The sequence below is a fragment of the Homo sapiens genome, chromosome 5, assembly GCF_000001405.40.
Source record: "Homo sapiens chromosome 5, GRCh38.p14 Primary Assembly".
NCBI classification, from domain to species: Eukaryota; Metazoa; Chordata; class Mammalia; order Primates; family Hominidae; genus Homo; species Homo sapiens.
This window is the reverse complement of record NC_000005.10, coordinates 140177181-140198835: the sequence shown is the minus strand read 5'-3', so window position 1 is coordinate 140198835 and position 21655 is coordinate 140177181. Positions and strand designations below refer to the sequence as shown.

General features: G+C 41.8%; 1 protein-coding gene across 1 annotated transcript in view; it reads right to left on the bottom strand.

Moving 5' to 3' along the window:
- Window positions 1–21655, bottom strand: part of CYSTM1 (cysteine rich transmembrane module containing 1) — a 68602-nt gene that overhangs the window by 44954 nt on the left and 1993 nt on the right. The window contains exon 2 of the mRNA NM_032412.4: window positions 4184–4390. Within this exon, the coding sequence (NP_115788.1) occupies window positions 4184–4370 (187 nt within the window). The 5' untranslated portion in view covers window positions 4371–4390. The remainder of the gene's footprint in view (window positions 1–4183; window positions 4391–21655) is intronic.

Sequence of the window (21655 nt, the reverse complement as noted above, 5' to 3'; positions counted from 1 at the left end):
AAGTATAATAATAAAAGAAAATGTTCTGGAATTATGATAGTGGTGATGGTTGAAAAACTCTGTTGATATACTGAAAACCATTGGATTGTACAACTTTAAATGGGTAAATTGTATGGTACATGAATTGTATGTCGAATATACCAAAAAAAGAGGGGGAGGAGGAAGGTGATATCTGTTCCCCCTCCTGTTGAAAGTGACTGGCCTTGAGACTTGTTTTGAATACTGGAATAAGGGGTAAGTGATGCTGTGCCAGTTCTGGGCCTAGCCCAAAATCCTGGCAGCTTCCACTTTCACTCTATTGGAAGCTAGTTGTCATGTAAAGCAGCTTAAGCTAGACCACCTAATGATGACAGACTATGTGCTGAGAGAGGCCTCGTGGAGGCAAACCAAGACCCTACTCATGTCAGTGAGGTCATCTTGGATAGCCTACACCCAGACAGGCTGACAGCTGAATTAAGTAACAAGAGTGACCCCACGAAAGATCACACGAAGCAAGAAGAGCCTCCCAGCCAACTCAGAGAATCATGAGAAATAATAAATCATTGTTGTTTTAAGCCAGTGAGTTGGGGGTGATATGTTATACAACAGATAACTGAAACAACCTTTCTGAGTCTCAGATTCCACTCCTATAACATGGGACTGATACTATGGGGTTGTTGTGAAGATTACATAAAGCTAACACCAAGCATGGTGCTCAACAAATACTAGTTGTTATTCTTAAAAACCACCCAGGAGATCCTTGACATAATCTGCAGGTATGCTCTTCTGGGAGACCTTATTCCTACAAGCACTTGCTGCTTCCAATCACATGGCTTCCAAAAGGTTGGCTTCTTAAAAAAACAAAAGGTGGGTTTTTTTGCTACAATCTCTGACACATGAATTCTAAAACATAAACAGATGACCAAGGAAGGTTCTGCTTAGGTTAGCCATCTACCCGACCCTGCTCATCCATTCATCACACCTTTATTAAGCCCTAACTAATTACCAGACGCCAATTAAGGATAAAGGAGATCCTCCCTCCTTTGAAAAAGAAACCATTTCTACCTATGTATCCATTAACATAATATGCCACACACTTGAACTTGAGTGGAGAGAGTATCTACAGTAGTAGATAAATCTAAAATCATTCAGCTGGAAAGAAAAAGCTTAAATTTCCATATAGAGCTCAGATACACAGCATGAGAACACATAATTCTGACTGAGAATCCCACAAGCAATACCAAAGCAAGGAATAAAATGGGTCCCTAAAGGGTTCATCACTCAGTGAGGCTACATTCTTCCAAGAGTCCCATTCACAGAACATGGACCCCAGGTGACAAAATTTGACCATTTGGCACTACCTGCTATGTTTGGGTGCAGAAAGGATCTGGGCAGTTAATAATTCACAAGCTAATGACAGAGAAATAAATTCCTGGGTATATCCATAGGAAAGGATATTAAACAGCTTTCAACTGCATTTGTGAAATCAATCGTGATTGGTAACACTGAACTAAGGAGCCTTTTAACCCTAAAAAGAATTAAGAAATTATTTTTCATCAAAAAGGCTGACATCAATACTTAAATTACATGAAAGGTAAGAAAGATGACCAAATCTGTATTTTCTGCATGAACAGTGGACAAAGTCCACTGAACCTAGGAAGCACTTATTCTAAACAAACTCAATAAAGTTCTAAACTCATCAAATGCTAGTTAGAGAGTCAGTATAAACAATATTGGCCTAGAAATGGACAGGAAGACCATGAGGGCTATAGGTGAAAGACCTAACACCAGGCAGGCATTGGGTTGAGTCTACCGGATAACTCAAATGCTGGGCTATCTTTCTCTGCTGACATAAAACGTACAGCAAAGTACACAAGTCATAACTATCTATCTTGAAGAATGTTTATATCAAGATTAAGATACAGAATATTCCTAACACCCCAGAAAGTTCCTTTGTTCCTAACCCAATGAATAACCAGTCCCACCCTAGTTTCCCAACTCCACAGCCAGGAGTAACCATTATTTTGATCTCTGGCATCATACATAGTTTTTGTCTGTTTTTGAATTTCACATAAATGGAATCATACCATATGTAGTCTTTTCTGCTTTCTTTTATTCATCACAGGGTTACCTTATTTTGAAGCAGAAAACCCAGAAGCTGAGGTTTATTTTCAGAAAATGTTTCTCTGATGTCACAGGCCTGAATACCAACTACTCCGATTATACTGGTTATACTTCCTGCCCTCTTCCGAGCATGCATGATAAAAACTGTTACAACAGAACACAATCTTGGATTGCAAAAGCTTCCTTCCAGATAAATTAAATTCTTTAAAGGTATTCAAATATTCTATTCAATCTTAACAGAGTATAAGCTTTGCCACTATAAAAGTATAATCTTTTCCATGAATGCAAAATTCTTATTCTAGAGAATCATCAAGTCCTAGAATAAAATTAGCCATCAATTCTGTTATTACTTTTGATTAGTAAAGAACTAAATGACAGGAAAATCTCTAAGAGGAAGCATAAGTCACTAAATTCAGATGAATGTGAGTCAGCTCAGAAAAGGCAGGAGAGGAACAACAGTACAGCAATAAATTATAGGTACAGATTTTGAGGCCAAGCTATCAGGATTCTAATCTAGAAAGTGCCCCTTCTAGCTAGGTGACCTTGGGCAAGTCATTACTCTAACTTTGTACCTCTATTACATCACTATAAAATGGGAATAACTTCATAGGATTGTTGCAAGGATTAAATGTTAATGTATATAAAGCACTTAGGAGACCATGTGACACACAATAAGCACTTTTTTTTTTTTTGAGATGGAGTCTCACTGTCGCCAGGCTAGAGTGCATGGTGTGACCTTGGCTCACAGCAACCTCTGCCTCCCAGGTTCAAGCCATTCTCCTGCCTCAGCCTCCTGAGTAGCTGGGACTATAGACGCGTACCACCACGCCTGGCTAGTTTTTGTATTTTTAGTAGAGACGGGGTTTCACCATGTTGGCCAGGCTGGTCTTGAACTCCTGACCTCAGGTGATCTGCCCGCCTTGGCCTCCCAAAGTGCTGGGATTACAGGCATGAGCCACTGTGCCTGGCCATAATAAGCACTTTTTAAGAATTAGCTATCTTGGCCAGGCACAGTGGCTCACGCCTGTAATCCCAGCACTTTGGAAGGCCAAGGGGGGCGGATCACGAGGTCAGGAGATTGAGACCATCCTGGCTAACACAGTCTCTGCTAAAAATACAAAAAATTAGCCGGGCGTGGTGGCAGGCGCCTGTAGTCCTAGTTACTCAGGAGGCTGAGGCAGGAGAACGGCGTGAACCCAGGAGGCGGAGCTTGCAGTGAGCCGAGATCGCGCCACTGCACTTCAGCCTGGGCAACAGAGTGAGACTCCGTCTCAAAAAAAAAAAAAAAAAAAAGCTGAAAGGGCTAATTAAGAGAGCAGCTATTCTGCCAACCAAAGGGCTACAAAATAGTGACCAAGACATCTAGCACAGTGCTCCTCAAGATGTTTTACTTTTAATCTTTCAGACTGATACTTTCTGTAAAATGCAAGATTACATACTTGGATGTCACAGCAAAACCAAATTGCTCTAAAAGTTTCTAAATGTTTACTCTCACTTTCTGTACATATAATATAGTCCATAACTGTTCACTGTTCATTGACTGGCATTTGTCTACAGACTGAACTTTGAGTAACACTGTTCTATAGCACACAAGAAGGACTCAAGAGCCTCCTGAAAACTCAACTGGCAGGTTAAATAGAATTATGAAAACATTTAGTAAGAAAAAAAAGAAAAACCCCAGTAGCAGGGGCAAGAGGATGACTTGAGGGTCAACAAGCTGACAGATAAAATAAACTCAAGAGGCTAATTACTAAACCTAAAATACAAAGCTGGCTACAGAGCAAAGACTCAACTGCTAATTCCTTCCCCACCCCCAAGTGCTCTAGAGGGTAGCCCTCAGAAAACACGTTGGCCAGGAAGTCATCAGCCCCAGAGGGGACAAGAGGTGTGAATGTAGCAGGCAGAGCTGACTTGGGCCTCTTCTCAGGAGTGAGAATCCACCCTAAGCCATCATCAAGCTTTGGGGACATCAAGCACAAGTTGCAAAGGCTGGAAAGAATTTCTTCTCTGCCAAAGAAAACATGCAAACATTTCCTTTAGTGACACGGGACTGCACACCCACATATTCAGAGACACACACCTGTGGTTTTAGGAGGCTCCTGAGGTCCACCCTGCCAGCCGTACTGTGGGTATCCTTGGTAGGGGTACCCTTGAGGAGGTGGGTAGGGTCCCCCCATAGGTCCTGGACCCATTGGTTGTGGTGGATAAGGTGGGTATGGGGCCGTTGGACCAGGGCCTGGATATGGTGGAGGGTTCTCTTGGTTCATCGGGGACCTGTAAAGTGCACCTAAGAGACAAAAAGAATGAAAATTATTTGCATTTAACTGTGGAAATCATCAGGAATAAAATCCTAACCCATAAGATCATTTACAAAATACCTTCAAGGTGTATCAAGCCTTGTGCAAATCTCTAGCTCTGCCCATTTTGTTTCCTTCTCACCATCACTATAATTGGCAATTATCTTATATATTTATTTGCCTTTTGTCTATTTCCTCCACTAGACTGTAGGCTGTGACAGTAGATATCAAGTAAGTTTTGGATCACCACCATGTCCCTAGAGCACTGCAGAGTGCCTGGTACAAGGCAGTCCCCTAAATAAATGTGTTAAATGAATAGCAAGATATTTTGTTTTTTAATTCCTCTGAAGTGTCCATAAATGTGATTGGATAGCTTTAAGAAAGTGTTCTAACAGCACTATGAGTCTCATCAGTGGACGCTGATCCACTACTAGAAACCCTCCAATCAACAGGGCTGGGCCACAGTGGGGCCTTCTAACGAGCAGCACTGGCAGCAATGACCAACCAAAGTTTGTAACCATCACCATTGCTCTGGGGATTGGGGTGATCTGGTTGTTCTCCCCAGACCCGCTGCTCTGAGCAGTTGGACAGCGCTGTTTATAGAGAATGCCAAGCGTCTCCTCTGCCCATCCAGGCCCCTGAGACTCTGGAGGGCTCACCAGGAACATTTATTTGTGTTTACAGGACCCTGTCCTCCATGGTTTGCTTCTGTGAGGGAAGCCACGCTTCCCAGCCCCCAAGCCTGTTAATCATTCTCTTGATTGGGCTTGAAGTTTTCAGGGCCAGCGTCTTGTTTCTATTATCTCTTTAAGTTCCACAGTGCCTGGCACGGTGACTTTCAGATTAAAAACAAACAAATGGCCAGGTGTGGTGGCTCATGCCTGTAATCCCAGCACTTTGGGAGGCCGAGGCGGGCGGATCACGTTGAGATTGAGACCATCCTGGCTAACATGGTGAAACCCCGTCTCTACTAAAAATACAAAAAATTAGCCGGGCATGGTGGCATGTGCTTGTAGTCCCGCTACTCAGGAGGCTGAGGCAGGAGAATCGCTTGAACTTGGGAGGTAGAGGTTGCAATGAGCTGAGATCGTGCCACTGCACTCCAGCCTGGGCAACAAAGTGAGACTCCGTCTCAAAAACAAACAAACAAACAAACAAACAAACAATTACTGGGGAATGCAAAGTATAAACTCTAAGGATGACTCACTTAACATATCATCTGTCATACTGCTGCCTTGTACTGTTACCCATATCTTACATCAATAGTTAACTTTTTACCTATTTGAGTGTCTTCTATCCCCAACCAAATAGTAGGGAAGAGTCTCAGATTCAAAATGTAATAATTTCACTATTAATTCTTTTCCATAACAGGCAATCAACAAATTCCTAAGTGACTTTATTATATAAAGGACAGAATAGTTATAAATAGTCTAGGTTCCCTAGAAAATCTGGATTACAGTAGCAGTGGACTTTGATGGTTGCCCACACAACATCCATATTCTCCCTTCCTAACAGGAGTCAGGTTTCCAGGTAGATCTCTGCTCATTCTTCCTGTAGTTCATGTGCTTCAGGGAAAGCTCATCCCATCCAGCTCCAGGGTGAACCCAGTCTATCTAAGCCAATCGGGGTCACTCTCTCCACTTTTTTATCATGATTGATTCAAGGAATTCAGGACTTTACCCAGATGCAAATGGCACTCCCTGGCCACTGGGACTGGTTCTGAAGTGGTTCAATCAGTAAAAAGCTCAGACTCTCTTAACACACTCCCACCGAACCTTCCCTTCCCCTGTACAAAGGTATACACAAAGTCTAGGAAAGATTGGCCTACAAAATTGCTGACAGCCAATCTGCAGCCCTGAGAAGGAGCCAGTTTTAAGATTAAGTGGGCCATTCAGAAAGGCAGAGCAGAAAAAAGGAAAGAAATGGGATTCCAGATGACTTTATAACAGCTCCTAAATCAAAGACTAAAGCCTGGCCTAACCTAAACTACCTCTATCGAATTTCCAGTCCTGGAAACCAATGGTAAGGTAAGGTAATGAACCCTTCTGGGTGACATTCACAAACATACATTTATTAAGTGCTTTCTTGACACTGGGCTAAGTAGTGGGGTATAGAGATCAATATGCCTCAAACCCTACCCTTGTGCAACTGGCTGAAACAAACATAAGGAAAATGATTTTTAGAAAATGTGGTAAACAGACTGCTGGGTAGGAGTAGGCGCTTAAACCTAGTAGAAGGAGGTGCTGATCAAGAGAGTGTCATTTGAAGGAGTTGATTATAAATTGAAACTCTATGTTATGGGATCAAATGGCTTGAGGGTCTCTATTTCAACCACATCTGTATTGCCTCCCATTTTTGACACCATCTTATTTTTCCAGGGCCTGAAAGGGACTCAGGAAAAAAGTAGAGTTCTTTCCCTTCTCTGCGCTCTGGTCTGCAACTGGCAACACACCCTGACCTAGGAACCCTAATGCAAAGGCTCATGGTGATTAACACTACAATTATCATATGAATTTGGACAAAAGCAAATGCATTTTATTTCCTCTCTCCTACCAGGAAGGCTGTAGAAAGCCTAGTGAGCCCTGGTTAACACAGAAATCAGTCTCATTAATCCCCATATGGCCATTCCATTATTTATTTTTAAATCACAGAAGTACAATACAGTTATCATAACTATTTCTGTCCTGAAATTCAGTGTGTGTAACCTAACTTCATTAAAACTGTAGTTTAACCTGATCAGTTCAACAAGACCACGTAGATCATTCTCACTCTAGCAAAGTCTGGACCTGTATTTCTTTGAAGACATTGTTCATCTAAAAACAATGGGCAGTGAGGAGAAAAAAGAACAGAGTATTGAACTACAACTTCAGACCTCAATGTTTCATGACTTTTATTGATCCATTTGTTTGCATTTATTCCTCATTATCCTGTGCAGTTCTCTCCCTGAGAACCTCAAAGCTCTCTTCCAAGTGTATGCGTCCTCCCCACTTACCCCTCATCATGTTTCCCTCTCATTTTTGGTATGTATCTTTCTCCAACTGCCTGAGGAAAAAAGCATGTAAGGTCTAGAAGGGAAAAATCCCATGAGTTATTCACAGAGGCATTTATACAAAGCATAAACTACAAAGGTGCTCCAGCTACCATGACCTCCTTCCACACATACACTCTTTCCCTTTGTTCCCAATATAGACAGTTATCTTGGAGGAATAAAAATCTGGATCTATTTTCAGTTTCCTCTAAACAAGAAAAAAATCCCAGTGAGAGAACAGCAAAAGTCACAGAAAGAGCACGTGTGCAGGATGAGAGATCCTAGAGCTGGCATTTGAAAAACAGGACTTCATCCAGTGGGAATCCATTGTTCCCAAGCTGGTAAAGAAGAAAAGCAAAGCAAAAAAGATTACCTAACACTGACACAGTATAGTACAAACCACTTTACATAACCAAAACTCAAAAGAGCTTTAAATTTAAGGTATGATACTGAACTTTGTAACATGACTGCTTTCCCTTATAAATTTGGTCAGGTAAAATATAAACCCTACTCTAGTGAAGTGTTTTACTACAGATCAAATGCAAACAGTGTAAATTGTAGCATTAAAGACAAATCAGAACTCTAAAAGGGACAGCTAAAATAGTGCTGCAGTCAAGATCCATTAATAGACTGCACTGAACACTGCTATCCCACGATCTCATTCAAGACATACTCAGAGTCACGGGATTAGCAGTCATTCAACCACACAATGAGAAGGGCAGAAACTATTCTTTGGGAAAGTGGTCAGTGGAGATAAGACCTCATCAAAGTAGAGATGGAGGAAAAAAAGCAATATATTTCAATGTTGTTTTTTTTAAATTACAAGACACCTGCTAGATGGACTGGCACTGACTCTGCAGACAGTAAAGTGGAAAATTTTCCTCTGGAAAACTGAACAGTCCCAGTGGAAAAAAAATGACAGATACTAATAATTGGGGAGACACCAAAGAAATGACTCACCCAGTCACTCCACAGTAAAGCCTATGCACACTGAACTTCTAATGGACTATTTACTGCCTCATACATAAATGAATGGACAAAGATTATCAGACATTGGAGGAAGGCCTCCAACATAAAAAACAGATCAAAACAAAACAGAGGAAGGAAAAAAACAACCTAAATATCCAAGGAAAGAAAATATCCAAGAAAAAAAATAAGGGTTTTTTTTGCAGTTGTTTTAAATTTATGCTTTTGAGGTATGATGTAATACTGTGTAAGAAAAATTTAAAAGTTCTGTATTCAGCATGTCTCAACTTTCTTTAAAATAAATACTGAAAAACAGATCAATAGAGCAGAATAAAGAGTCCTAAACCACATCCATACAGTACAGTCTCCTAATTTAACAGACAGGCACCACGTAATTCACAAAAGAAAAGGTAGTCTTTCCAATAAATAGCACTGGATTAATTGGTTATCCTTGTGTTGGGAGAAATGACCCTTGATCTCCATGCTCATACATTAAAAAAATCCACAATATATCACAGAAAAAAAATCACAACATATCACAGACCTATGCAAAAGCTAAACCAATCAAGCTTTTAGAAGAAAGTATACCAAATATTCATGACTTTTGCAGTATTTACATTATGACCCAGAAGCTCTTAGATATATATATATAGAAGTGAAACAAGTGTGTAAGTCCACCAAAAGACTTTTACAAGAATGTTCAAAGCAGTTTTATTTATAATAGTCCCAAACTGAAAGCTATCCAAATGTTCATCAACAGCAGAACAATTATTATATATTTTCACAGTAGAAAATGACCCCAAAACAATAAATAAAATAACTATTATTACGTGAAACAACATGGATGAATCCCAGCCACAACGTGTGAGCAAAAGAAGGCAGACTCAACAGACTTCAATAATACTCTACTTAGTCTGTTTTGTGTTGCTATAAAGGACTAACTGAGGCTGGGCAATTTATAAATAAAAGAGGTTTATTTTGGCTCATGGTTCTGCTGACTGTACAAGAAGCATAGTGCTGGCATCTGTGTCTGGTGAAGCTCTCAGGTAGCTTACAATCATGGTGGAAGACAAAGGGTGAAGCAGGCACATCACATGATGAGAGAGGGGGCAAGAGAGTGGGGGGAGATCTCAGACTCTTTTAAACAACCAGATCTCACTTGACTAATAGAGTGAGAACTCATTCATTACCATAAAGAGGACACCAAGCCATTCATGAAGGATACACCCCTATGACCCAAACACCTCCCACCAACCCACCTCCATAATTGGGGATCACATCCCAAGATGAGATCTGGAGAGGACAAATATCCAAACTATATCATTCTGTGATTCCATTTATATGAGGTACAAGAACAGCCAAAACAAATCTGTGGATACTGAAAAGAAAGATACCAAAACAAATTTATGAATACTGAGGGGAAGATAGAAGGGAACCTTCAGGAATGATGGAAACATTCTGTATCTTGAGCTGAGTCATGTTTACATGAATACATATAAATGTATTGAGTTGTACATTAAGATTTTCAAACTTTATTGTAAATTGTACAGTAACAGCAGATATTTTGCTAGAAAAAATATATTTATTGTGGTTTTCCTTGGGTGCTGGAATTGTGGGCAATTTTTATTATACTCATCTGTATTTCTTTTTTTTTTTTTTTTTTGAGACGGAGTCTCGCTCTTCCACCCAGGTGGGACTGCAGTGGCGTGATCTCGGCTCACTGCAAGCTCCGCCTTCCGGGTTCACGCCAGTCTCCTGATTCAGCCTCCCGAGTAGCTGAGACTACAGGCGCCCGCCACTGCGCCCAGCTAATGTTTTGTATTTTTAGTAGAGACGGGGTTTCACCGTGGTCTCGATCTCCTGACCTCGTGATCCGCCCGCCTCGGCCTCCCAAAGTGCTGGGATTACAGGCGTGAGCCACCGCGCCCAGCCACTCGTCTGTATTTCTGAAAATTTCAAGAGAACCTATACAGTCAGAAAAAGATTAAGTTTTCCTAGTGCTTTCAGATATATATCCATGCTGCCTGCCATTTTTAATAGCTAGAATGCCACTTTAGCTGGGCTCAGGGCTCATGCTTATAATGTCAGTGACTTGGGAGGCTGAGACAGGGGAATCACTTGAGGCCAGGAGTTCAAGACCAGCCTGGTTAGGGTAACATAGTGAAACCTTGTGTCTACCCTCCCCCCTTCCCCCCGCAAAAAAATTAGCAAGCTGTGGTGTTATACATAGTCCTAGCTGCTTGTGAGGCTGAGGTGGGAGGATCACTTCAGCCCAGGAGTTTGAGCTGCAGTGAGCTATGATCATGACACTACACTCTAGTCTGGGCAACAGAACAAGAAAGACCCTGTCTCTAAAAAAAAAAAAAAAAAAGTTAAAATTAACAAATATTTTTTAAAATGCCACTTTAAACCTCCTATTCACTTCTGATATACCAATTTGCCTTCTCATTACTTATTTTCCTCTTGTTAATGATCTAGTCAAAATCTGCTCTTCACTGCTTTTTAAGGTGATTTTTGTAGTTGCAATTTTTTTTTTTCACAAGACACTTTGGTTCTCTAAGGTCTTCAAATGTTTTCTTTCTGCTTCAAACCAAAAAGTCACTTGGTTGGGTACCAGACTTGGGGTAAAAAACCAAATTCTTTTGGTTACATACAGACTTCTCTATCTTGGAACCCTTCTTATTATCAAAGCCTAAAGTCATGCTTATCCTTATGTCCTTCAATTTATCTTTCTTGGTAACTTATAAAATTAAAGTTTAAAAACATAAGAGCAGGGCCAGGCACCATGGTTCACACCTGTAATCCCGGCCCTTTGGGAGACCAAGGCAGGTGGATTGTTTGAGCCTAGGAGTTTGAGACCAGTGTGGGCAACATAGTGAGACCTTGTCTCTATAAAAAATAGGAAAATTGAGCTGGGTGTGGTGGCATACATCTGTAGTCCCAGCTACCTGGGGGAGACTGAGGTGGGAGAATCACTTGAGCCTGGGAGATTGAGGCTGAGGTGAGCCGTGATCACACCACGGCACTCAAGCCTGGGAGACCGTGCAAGACCTTATCTCAAAAACAAAACAAAACAAACAAACAAAAACTATGAGAGCAGATCTTACCCTAGAGACCTCGGTGTCTTTTTTTTTTTTTTAACTCCCCATTAGCTGTTTTTTTAACAAAACCTTTGTAAATAGACCACTTTACATTCTAAGTCCCTCAATATGTCTTGACTCTCACATCTATAATTTTGGGTGCAGTTTGTTCAGGTAAAAAAAAAAAAAAGTTTTAGAATTACTGAGGTGTTTGTTTATTTGTTTGTTTGTTTTTTGAGATAGAGTTTCACTTTGTCGCCCAGGCTGGAGGGCAGTGGTGCGATCTCGGCTCACTACAACCTCTGCCTTCCGGGTTCAAGCGATTCTCCTGCCTCAGCCTCCAGGGCAGCTGGGATTACAGGCGTGCACCACCATGGCTGGCTAATTTTTGTATTTTTAGTAGAGATGGGGTTTCACCATGTTGGCCAGGCTGGTCTTGAGCTCCTGACCTCAGGCAATCTGCCCGCCTCAGCCTCCCAAAGTGCTGGGATTACAGTGTAACCCACCACACCTGGCCTAGAATTACTGAGTTTTATACTGCCATATCATCTCTGGTTTAGAGTTTTCATCAAATTTTGGCATTGACATATTAGTTTATTCCATTCACACAGTCATTTGTTCATCCATAAATACTTATAGGAGCATCAACTATAACCCAGTACTACTGGGTTCCAGGTGCTGCTGAGATAATGGTAAGCAAGAGACAGTTCCTATTCAGGGTATGAGAGAGACAGACAATAACACCAGCAATCACAAAACCAAGCGAAGATAGAGGAAGCAGAGCGTACTGTAAGCTCAAAGTAGAGATAACTAATTACTCAGGGAAGTCAGAGAAAGATTCTAATAGAAGTGATGATCACATGACTAAGCATAAACAGAAATTCGTATTACTCCAAATTTCATACTCTGCAGAGGCAAGAATCTGTGAGATGTTTCAGAGAAAAAGCAAAGCACATTTGAGGAACTGACTAGGTTCTAATGGCTGAAGCACACTTCACGGGATGAGGCCAAAGGGTCAGCTCATAAACAGCCTTGCTAAGAGCAGACTTCTAGGTTTGCTGCATCTTCCTTTTCTATCGTTATTCTTTATTTCTTTTAAAAGGATTCATGTAACTTTATGTTTGTTTGTTGAATACTATTGACAAACTTAATAATTCACTTATTTCATATGTATTAAGTACCTACTACATATCAGGCCTAGAGCTGGAGATAAGAGGTAAAGAACTATATAGCTGGCTTGCTCCTCCCCTTCAGTATTGCTATTAATATAAATAAAATTATCACTTCCATTTGTCTGCTATTGCATCAGATGGAATATGCTGGAAGTTTTCCAAATTTTAAGGATATGGTGAAGGTAGTTTGACAGAATAGACAAAACTTACTTTGGGAGGTCCAAAAGGCAGTTACCTCAAAGTGTTACACAAGTTACTAAAACTGAAGTATAAGTAGAAGCCCAAATGACTCCCCAATCGGAAGAGTCATACCATACTTGTGAATGTACAGTGAGCAGAGGTAAGAAATGATGGTCTCAAATCTTAAACCCAAGGCCAAAGTCACAACAATAGGCATTCCAGAACTGTAGGCCTTCTCCTAGGAAGAACTTGCTCCTGATATGGACACTTTAACACAGGAGCCCCAGGGGGATAGCAATAGCAGGGATTTACATTTTTAAAGATGGTAGCAGTGCTCCCAGTAACAGTGCAACACCAGGAGACCTCTGATAGTCAGCATAACGTGGACAAGATATTTCTTTTTACGACTTGCTCAGCATTTTAAACACATTGCTGGGTATTGCCATTTTCTAAATTGCTCTTCTTTTAGGGACAGACTGGAGGAAGACAACCTGCAGTATTACTCCATTATTGTCCAAATACTGATTCTGGTCTCAACCTCCCAAATATCATTAGCCATCCCCTACTTCATTCAATATCTCTTGTTTGCCAGAGTTTTACCAGGCCCTGAGCTATTCTCATATAGTCAATGAATGAATAAGTATTAGAACGTATCTTTTGTATCAACATTTTGGCTGTGGCTTCACAATAGCCCCTCTATGGAGTACAAAATGATACACAGCTCAGATATGGGACCTTTCGCTGAACAAGGGCATCAAAGTGCACATGGAAGGCAAAAACTAACAATGGATCATCTACCTCTGAAGGCCCTGGCCCAGAGTGATGAAGAGGTTCAGAGACTGTCTTATTTTCCTTTCTCACAAAAAATATCTGATACAAAAACCACACACTGCTTTTATAACTGAGTTCATATGAAGCTAAAAATCTACAAACTATTTAGTAACATAGTTTGCTAATGCCATTCAGATAATTGCTTTAAGCCGCTATCCCCAACATTAAGATAACACAAAGATGTAAGTATTCTCAACTTGTCCTGATAGATTAGGAACAGCAAATTCTGAAAAGTCATACCATACCTACATTAATTATCCATAGTTCAGAATTATTTGAAAATGTGACTACAGTCAATCTTGTCTCCCTCCAATACTAAACTTGGTAGGTACATTTTAGCATTCTTCCAGACTTAGAGACTTTCTGAGGGAATTCAGAGAAGTTCCCTTCAACAGAGGATAACATATCATCTGCTAAAACCTTTCTCCATAAAGCTTTCTGTAAAGAACCTCTAGTTGGATCCAGGGCTTGGTGCTCTGTAAGATATAACATTTATAAACATTCCTGGGAAAAAAGACATTACTACCTGAAAATATCAACAACTAAAATGACCTATCCTTAGCCACCAGGTATTGGTGTCCCATTCCTCCCTAATGTTTAGAGCAGACAGCCTTTCTTTTTATAGCGGGTCTATCCTTTTTTCTTATAAACTCTTCAATAAAGACATATTTTTAAGTAAAACCCCAAATAAATACATAAAAACACCCTATCCTTTGAACGAGCAATTCTACCTTTAGGAATTTATCTTACAGATATATACTAGTGCCAGCCGGTATGCCAAAAAAAAAAAACCCAACTTTATACACATGCATATATATTAAATATAATGTTCATCAATATGAGAATGGTTAAATAAACCATGGTATTTCCAATCCATGGAACTGCTGCTATATGACGCTTCAGAAGAATAAGTTAGAACTACCTGTGCTGATATGAAAAAGCACCAACATGGTGGGAAAAAAACAAATTGCAACACAGTGCATTCTATTACCCCATTTGGGTTTAAAAATAAACTTCTATTTCTAAACCTGAATAGATCACACAGTTACACTAATGAATACAATTATTGATTAAACTGTACATTATACATACTTTTTTATACATATGTTATATTTAACAATGAAAGTTAAAACCCTTGCTAATCATCTTTAGGTAAAGTAGCCACATGGCTTTTACAAGAAAATAATCAATTTTTTAACTCATTAAGCAGGAAAGCCATGCTCCTAGATGCTTCCAACAATCCATCTAACCACATGGGAAGACAATTTGGTCCAGTTGCTACCTGGGAAAACCTAGCTTCAGGGCAGGATCCACAGCTGCAAATAGTCCTGTGGGTTCCAGGCTAACCTCACCCAAGGGCTCCTTCTCCAGCCTTCATTCATCATGTATGGTCCTCTGCAAAAGCTAGAGGACTGCCTGGATGCAGTATTCCCCTCTGCATTCAGCTTATGGAAGGGTCCCCACAGGTAAGCCTCAGCCCCTTGTCTAATGGATCCTGGCATTGTCAGCAAACCCTGATTATAATACCTTCCCCATACTGCTGGGACCCCCATATCGGGGAGGAGCACATCCAGCCTCACCCAACCACTCAGTTCAGGGACTCTGGTCAGTACCCCACCAACACTGCTATCTGAAAGCCAGTAGAGAAATGAAGGTTGGCTTCTCCTCAGAAAAATAGGGTAGGGATCTCTGAATTACATCTAGTCACTGGGACATATAGGACAGCATTATAATTGGAACTTCAAATAGTCAACCCTCAAAGTGAGAATGGAGAGAAAATGGGGCCCAGCAAGAGAGAGGCTCAAAAGAGAGGGCAGTATTGAACAGAAGGGAAAGGAAAAGGGAAGAAAGCTGTGAACACAGAAAGTGAGTTGGGGAATTGAAAGGAGCGGTTAGGGCATGGAGAGAGAGAAAAGGGAAGAACTCTGCCCCCTGCCAAGTTGAGAGGACACACTAGAAAGGGACAGGTCCATCCCTCCCAACAAGCCTGATAAGGCCACTTCCCAGGCCAGGTCCCCTGCCAGCCCAGCCCCTGAAAGACAGGCTCTGCCTGCCTCCTCCCAGAGCATTAGATTAGGCTTTGTGGGAAAGTTGAAATCTTGATGATTTAGAAAGAGGCCCCTACAGCTTAACGTGCTGGCAATTTAACTAAGCGCTCCTGGTTCCTGATGAATACCAAGCCAGCCTGGCTTTGCTCCATCATGAAAGCACGCTCTCCTGACCCTCTGAGGGAGCAGCAGCTCAGTCAGCACTGCGGGGTGGCTCTTAATGGACAACAGTGAATTTCACATCAAACCAGGAAGTACCACTCATGCCTATCATGTGCTGCACCCTAAGAGACCATACAACCCAGGGCAGCTCACCCTCCCCCTTTCTTCTGTTTTCATAGGATTCTTAAAGGAATAGGCTTTACGGACAATGAAGATTGGGGGAAAAAAATTCTAGATGATAACTTCAGTTTCTATCATTAGCAACATCCACAAACAGTTCTCTATATGTGAAAGGAACTCAAAGTAGTTTGGGTTATTGATGAGTTAAAAAAAAAAAAAGCATCCCTCCTGCCCCCCAAGAAAGATCTGAGTTTCCCAGGAGAATCTGAGTTTTCTAAGAGCACGCTGGCACAGAAAGAACAATGTAACACAGCATCAATGAAGCCACACCCCTGGCAGAGGGCCTAGAATTTAATATAGTATACAGCCTCACCACCACTCAGGCCTCTTTTTGGCAAACTTCAGATCAAAACAGAAGTGGTTTCACATTGCATTTACCTCTTGTTACCTCCTAGATTCTTCATTCTGTGGCCTTCCTAGTATCATAGAACCACACAAGTTTTAGGAAAAGATAGGATTGAAGGGGCCCTCTCTGAAGGCCTGCCTACTCCAAACCATCCTACCACCCATCTACTGCTGCCTGAAAAACTCACTATTAGTGAGTCATATCTTTGGGTAAAGGCTGTATTGCCCCAGGTGGGATATGTGGAACTTGGGGAACATGGACAAACAACTTCAATAATTTATACCTTCTATTTGTGACAGGTGATGTAGTAGTTATCAGTTTAAGGCAATGATATCGTTTCCCTTTTAAACAAATTTTAGGGTTTTAAAAAATGGGTCAACTTTAAGAAGAATGTTAAACAACAGTACAGATGACATAAAGATAAGACAAAAATCATGCAGGGGAACACAAATGAAGTGTGAAAAACACTAGGGTTTACTTTCAAGACCCTCCCTTTAAATACAACTACCCGGCCGAAGGTGGTGTCACACGCCTGTGATCCCAGCACTTTGGGAAGCTGAGGCAGGAGGATCCCTTGAGGCTAGGACTTTAAGAATGGCCTAGTCAACATAGCAAGACCTAGTCAACATAGCAAAAAATACAGACGGGGGTCCTGCTATCTTGCAGTGGCAGTGGCCCCCGTGGCTCTTGCAGGTGCAGTGGCTCATGCAGCAGGATTGCCTGAGCTCAGGAGTTTGAGACCAGCCTGGGCAACATAGTGAGACCCCCATCTCTATGAAATATAAATAAAAAATTAACCAGGCACAGTGATATGTGCCTGTAGTCCTAGCTACTCAGGAGACTGAGGTGGGAAGATCTTTTGAGCCCAGGAGTTTGAGCCTGCACTGAGCTATGATCATGCCATGCACTCCAGTCTGGCAGATTGTCCCTAAAGCAAAATAATAATCAGTAAGTAAATACAATTATCCCTCATTAGTTTCTCACACAGCCACCACCAGACATTAAAGGCCACCAAAAATTAGTTCAACAAAGTTAGCAGAGCCAGAAGGGTGCAGAAACTGCGATCAAAGATTAGATTGGCTTTAGAGAGGGTGGTGTTGGGGAGGAAAGGCTGTTAGTGGGGAAGAGGCAGAAGGGCAAAGTCTGGAGTGTCCAGGAAGCTAGTGGCAGCAGGAAAGCACTAAGTATTCGACTTAACAATAAGGGCTCACAGAATAGCCACATTCTTACAAATGTCCCCCTCTTCACACACTTTCTCCCCAACTGACTCTGCCTAAGATTCTGAAACTGAAAGCTGACCAGTAAAGTACTGCGTGCAGCATTAAACGTTTAACGTGGCAGAAGTCTAGCACCATTTCCCAGGTCTTCCTCTCCCCAAATGTCTTTGTAGTTCAACTGTTTCCCATCCCTACTTTTCTCTGAATAAGAAGCATGCCTAGATAGTTTTCAGTTACGATGTTTTCTGAGCCAATGCTCTTGAGACTGGCTAATGATTCTTTAGTACAAATAATCAGGAAACTAGTGATAGGAACCTCTGAATAAGGCATTTACTCTTCAGTGAGTAAATTCAGGTAGATCAAACCCTCCTCCCACCATGACCATCAATATTCTCCCTTAAACCATTTAATGAAAAGAGTTTAGAAAAATATAAATCATCTGTTGTTTTGGCAAAGTCATACCACAAGCTTGCTGCCCACAGAGACTGGATTCAAACCATTTGTCTCCTTTGCTTTAGATGTGAGGACCTACCCAGTTTCCAAGATCTGACTTGGAGGCCTAAATCAATAATAATATTCCACATACATCTCCTAAAAGCTATAAAGGAATCATTCCAAGCTCACTTCCTTTTGAAGACTCCTTTGTGTAGTGCCCAAAATGGTGTGAACATTTTTGGTTGTAAAGTGGGAGGGTCAGTTTATGTTCAATTCCCTTGCTTTATACTACTGCTGTTTAATTGCTGACTCCCATTTTATAGCCAAGCCAATTAGTAGCCTTGGCCAAGCGTGAGGAGCTTGGAAGCCTGAAACATGGCACTCAGCTAAGCCTACAGATAACAGAAAGCCTTTTCTGTCAGAATTTCCCTCATGAGAGAGAGCTTGACCTGGCCAACAAATGTCAGAAGTCTAAAAGATGGATGTTGTAGTTCAGTACGTAGTGTCCCTGGGCACATCAGCAAGCACTCGAATCCTACTAGATTGAGTGACAGGACTGGTGGCCTGACACAGGTGAGGGAAATTTTAAAAGATGACTATTTCACTCCTCATCCAATTTACTGAACAATCTTACTCCCTTTTGTCTCTGACCAGCTTAATAACTTACTCCTTTGAGGGCTGTGACACTTTCTGATAATACTCTTGCTGTTAAAAAAGATGCTGGGTCATAGGCTGCCAGTTCCACAGCCTTCTGTTACTGGTTTACTCCAGGCACTCCAAAAAAAGCCAAGACCAGGTTAACAGAGAATAAAAGAAAAAAGAGAGTGAGGCTGGGCGCGGTGACTCACGTCTGTAATCCCAGCACTTTGGGAGGCTGAGGCGGGTGGATCACCTGAGGTCAGGAGTTCGAGACCAGCCTGGCCAACGTGGTGAAACCCCGTCTCTACTAAAAAATACAAAAAATTAGCCAGGCATGGTAGTGCATGCCTGTAGTCCCAGCTACTCGGGAGGCTGAGGCAGGAGAATCGTTTGAACCTGGGAGGCAGAGGTTGCAGTGAGCTGAGATCGTGCCATTGCACTCCGGCCTGGGAGACAGAGCAAGACTCTGTCTCAAAAGAAAAGAAAAGAAAGAAAAAAAAGAGAGTGAACAATCTGAGCTTTACTATTTATATATGAAATATAAACAGGAATTTAGTTAGCCTCAGGCTTCCAAATTTTTATTTTTATTTTTCAGACAGAGTCTTCCTCTGTCTCCCAGGCTGGAGTGCAGTGGCACAATCTTGGCTCATTGCAACCTCCGCCTCCTGGGTTCAAGCAATTCTTGTGCCTCAGCCTCCCGACTTAGCTGGGATTACAGGCGTATGCCACCATGCTCAGCTAGTTTTTGTAATTTTAGTAGAGACAGGGTTTCGCCATGTTGGCCAGGCTGGTCTCGAACTCCTGGCCTCAAGCAATCCACCCACCTCGGCCTCCCAAAGTGCTGAGATTACAGGTGTGGGCCACCGTGCCCAGCCATTTTTTTTTTTTTTAAGCGACAAGATGTCATTCTGTCTTCCAGGCTGGAGTGCGGTGGCGTGATCATGGTTCATTGCAGCCTCAAACTCCTGGGCTCCAGCGATCCTCCCACCTCAGCCTCCTGAGTAGCTAGGATTACAGGCACATACCACATGCCCAGCTAATTTTTAAAAATTTTTTGTAGCTATGGGGTCTCCCTGTGTTGCTCAGGCTGGTCTTGAACTCCTGGGCTCAAGCGATCCTCTTGCCTCAGCCTCCCAAAGTGCTAGGATTACCGCACCGGGCCTCAGATCTTGATTACAGGCTGATTAGTAACCAAGCCCATAAAACCCCAGGAAAAAACAAAGCCAAACAAAACAAAAAACCAGCAAAAAGTCCAGGCATGGTAGCTCATGCCTGTAATCCCAGCACTTTGGGAGGCTGAGGCAGGCAGATTGCTTGAGCCTAGGAGTTTGAGGGGAGCCTGGGCAACATGTCAAAACTCCATCTCCACAAAAAACACAAAAAATTAGCTAGGTGTGGTGGTGCAGGCCTGTAGTCCCAGCTACTCAGGAGACTGAGTCGGGAGGATGGCTTGAGCCCAGGAGGTGGAGGTTGCAGTGAGCTGCGATTACACCACTGCACTCCAGCCCAGGCAACAGAGCCAGAACCTGTCTCAAAAAAATTAAAAAAACCAAATCAGCAAAAAGGTCTTAGATAGCCAGGCATGGTCGCCTGTAGTCCCAGCTACTCACAGGGTTGAGGTGGGAGGATCACTTGAACCCAGGAGTTAGAGACCAACCTGGGCAACATAGCAAGCCCTGTTTCTGAAAAAAAAAAAAAAAAAAAAAAAAAGGAAGGACTTGAATAGGGCTTTTCCAAAAACTTAGAACTTCAAACTCTTTTAAAAAACTTTTATCACATCTCAAAATATACCATTCATCCAAGAATTAAAATATTCTGCTTTGGAGGAGCTCAAATTTCATATAAGCCTCTCATTAATTCTCCTTGGTACCTCTGTGAGGAGGTACTGACCCGCATTCAAGGTCAAAGAAAGTTTCCATGCCAAGAAAGGAGTGCCCTGCTCAAGGCCTTAGTTGACAAATGTGAGCTCAAAATGCTCCAGCCCATACCCCAGCCCTGCCTTTCACCTCAGCCCAGTCCCCCTTAAGAAAGAGCATTTCTATTAAAGGCCAGCCCTGTTGTTTATTATAGTTTGTATTTAGGGAAACACACTAACATTTTTTTCCTGACAGTAAAGTCTTAAGTTCTCTACCAATGAGAAAACTTGTGGGGGTGGCTTGGGTGAATGAAAGCAGAAAATTTCCAAAAACTTTTGGCCTACTTAACTGCCCTGACAGCACATAGTTATTTTGTTTGGGAAAGGAGGGGGTGGACTGTTTCTTTCCAAAGGAACCATAATTAGTTGGCCACTTCAAATAGTATCAAAGAGATTTGGAAAACAGTTACTTTTCTAAATTTTTTAATGAGGCCAAGACATCTGATTTCCAGCGATTCTTAATATTAACAAGCTCCTGCAAAGCCCCTTAAAAATCACTATCATAATCTCTACCACTCAACAGGAACACACGGGGAAAAAACTACTCTGGCCTTTTACACACTTCGGGGCTTCTTTTACAGAGAATGACTTCACTGATCTGACTGGAAGTCCCGTTTCCCCAGGTCTCACCCTGGATTTGCACTCCTTTGAGTGCTGCACCGGTTTCTATATTTACGCACAAACCAGCTGCGGCCACCTTCCTTCGCAATTCCCAAACCTGCCTTTCACTGTACAGGATCCCTGGAGGTCCAATTCTGTTTTCTGGAGTCAAAGAAATACAAAATAATTTCACTACCTCCCAGAAAACAGACTTTGGTAAGTTTCAATATAAAATAGACAGCTCTTGAACCCAGGAGGCAAAGGTTGCAATGAGCCAAGATCTCGACACTGCACTCCAGCCTGGGCGACAGAGCAAGACTCCGCCTCAAAAATAAACAAATAAATAAAATAAAATAGACAGCTGTGTATTTTTGGTCCTAGCACCAATAAATTTCAGGGCTGGGAAAAATCATAAATTACCAAAGCATTCCTCTTCATATAACCAAAATATATTTT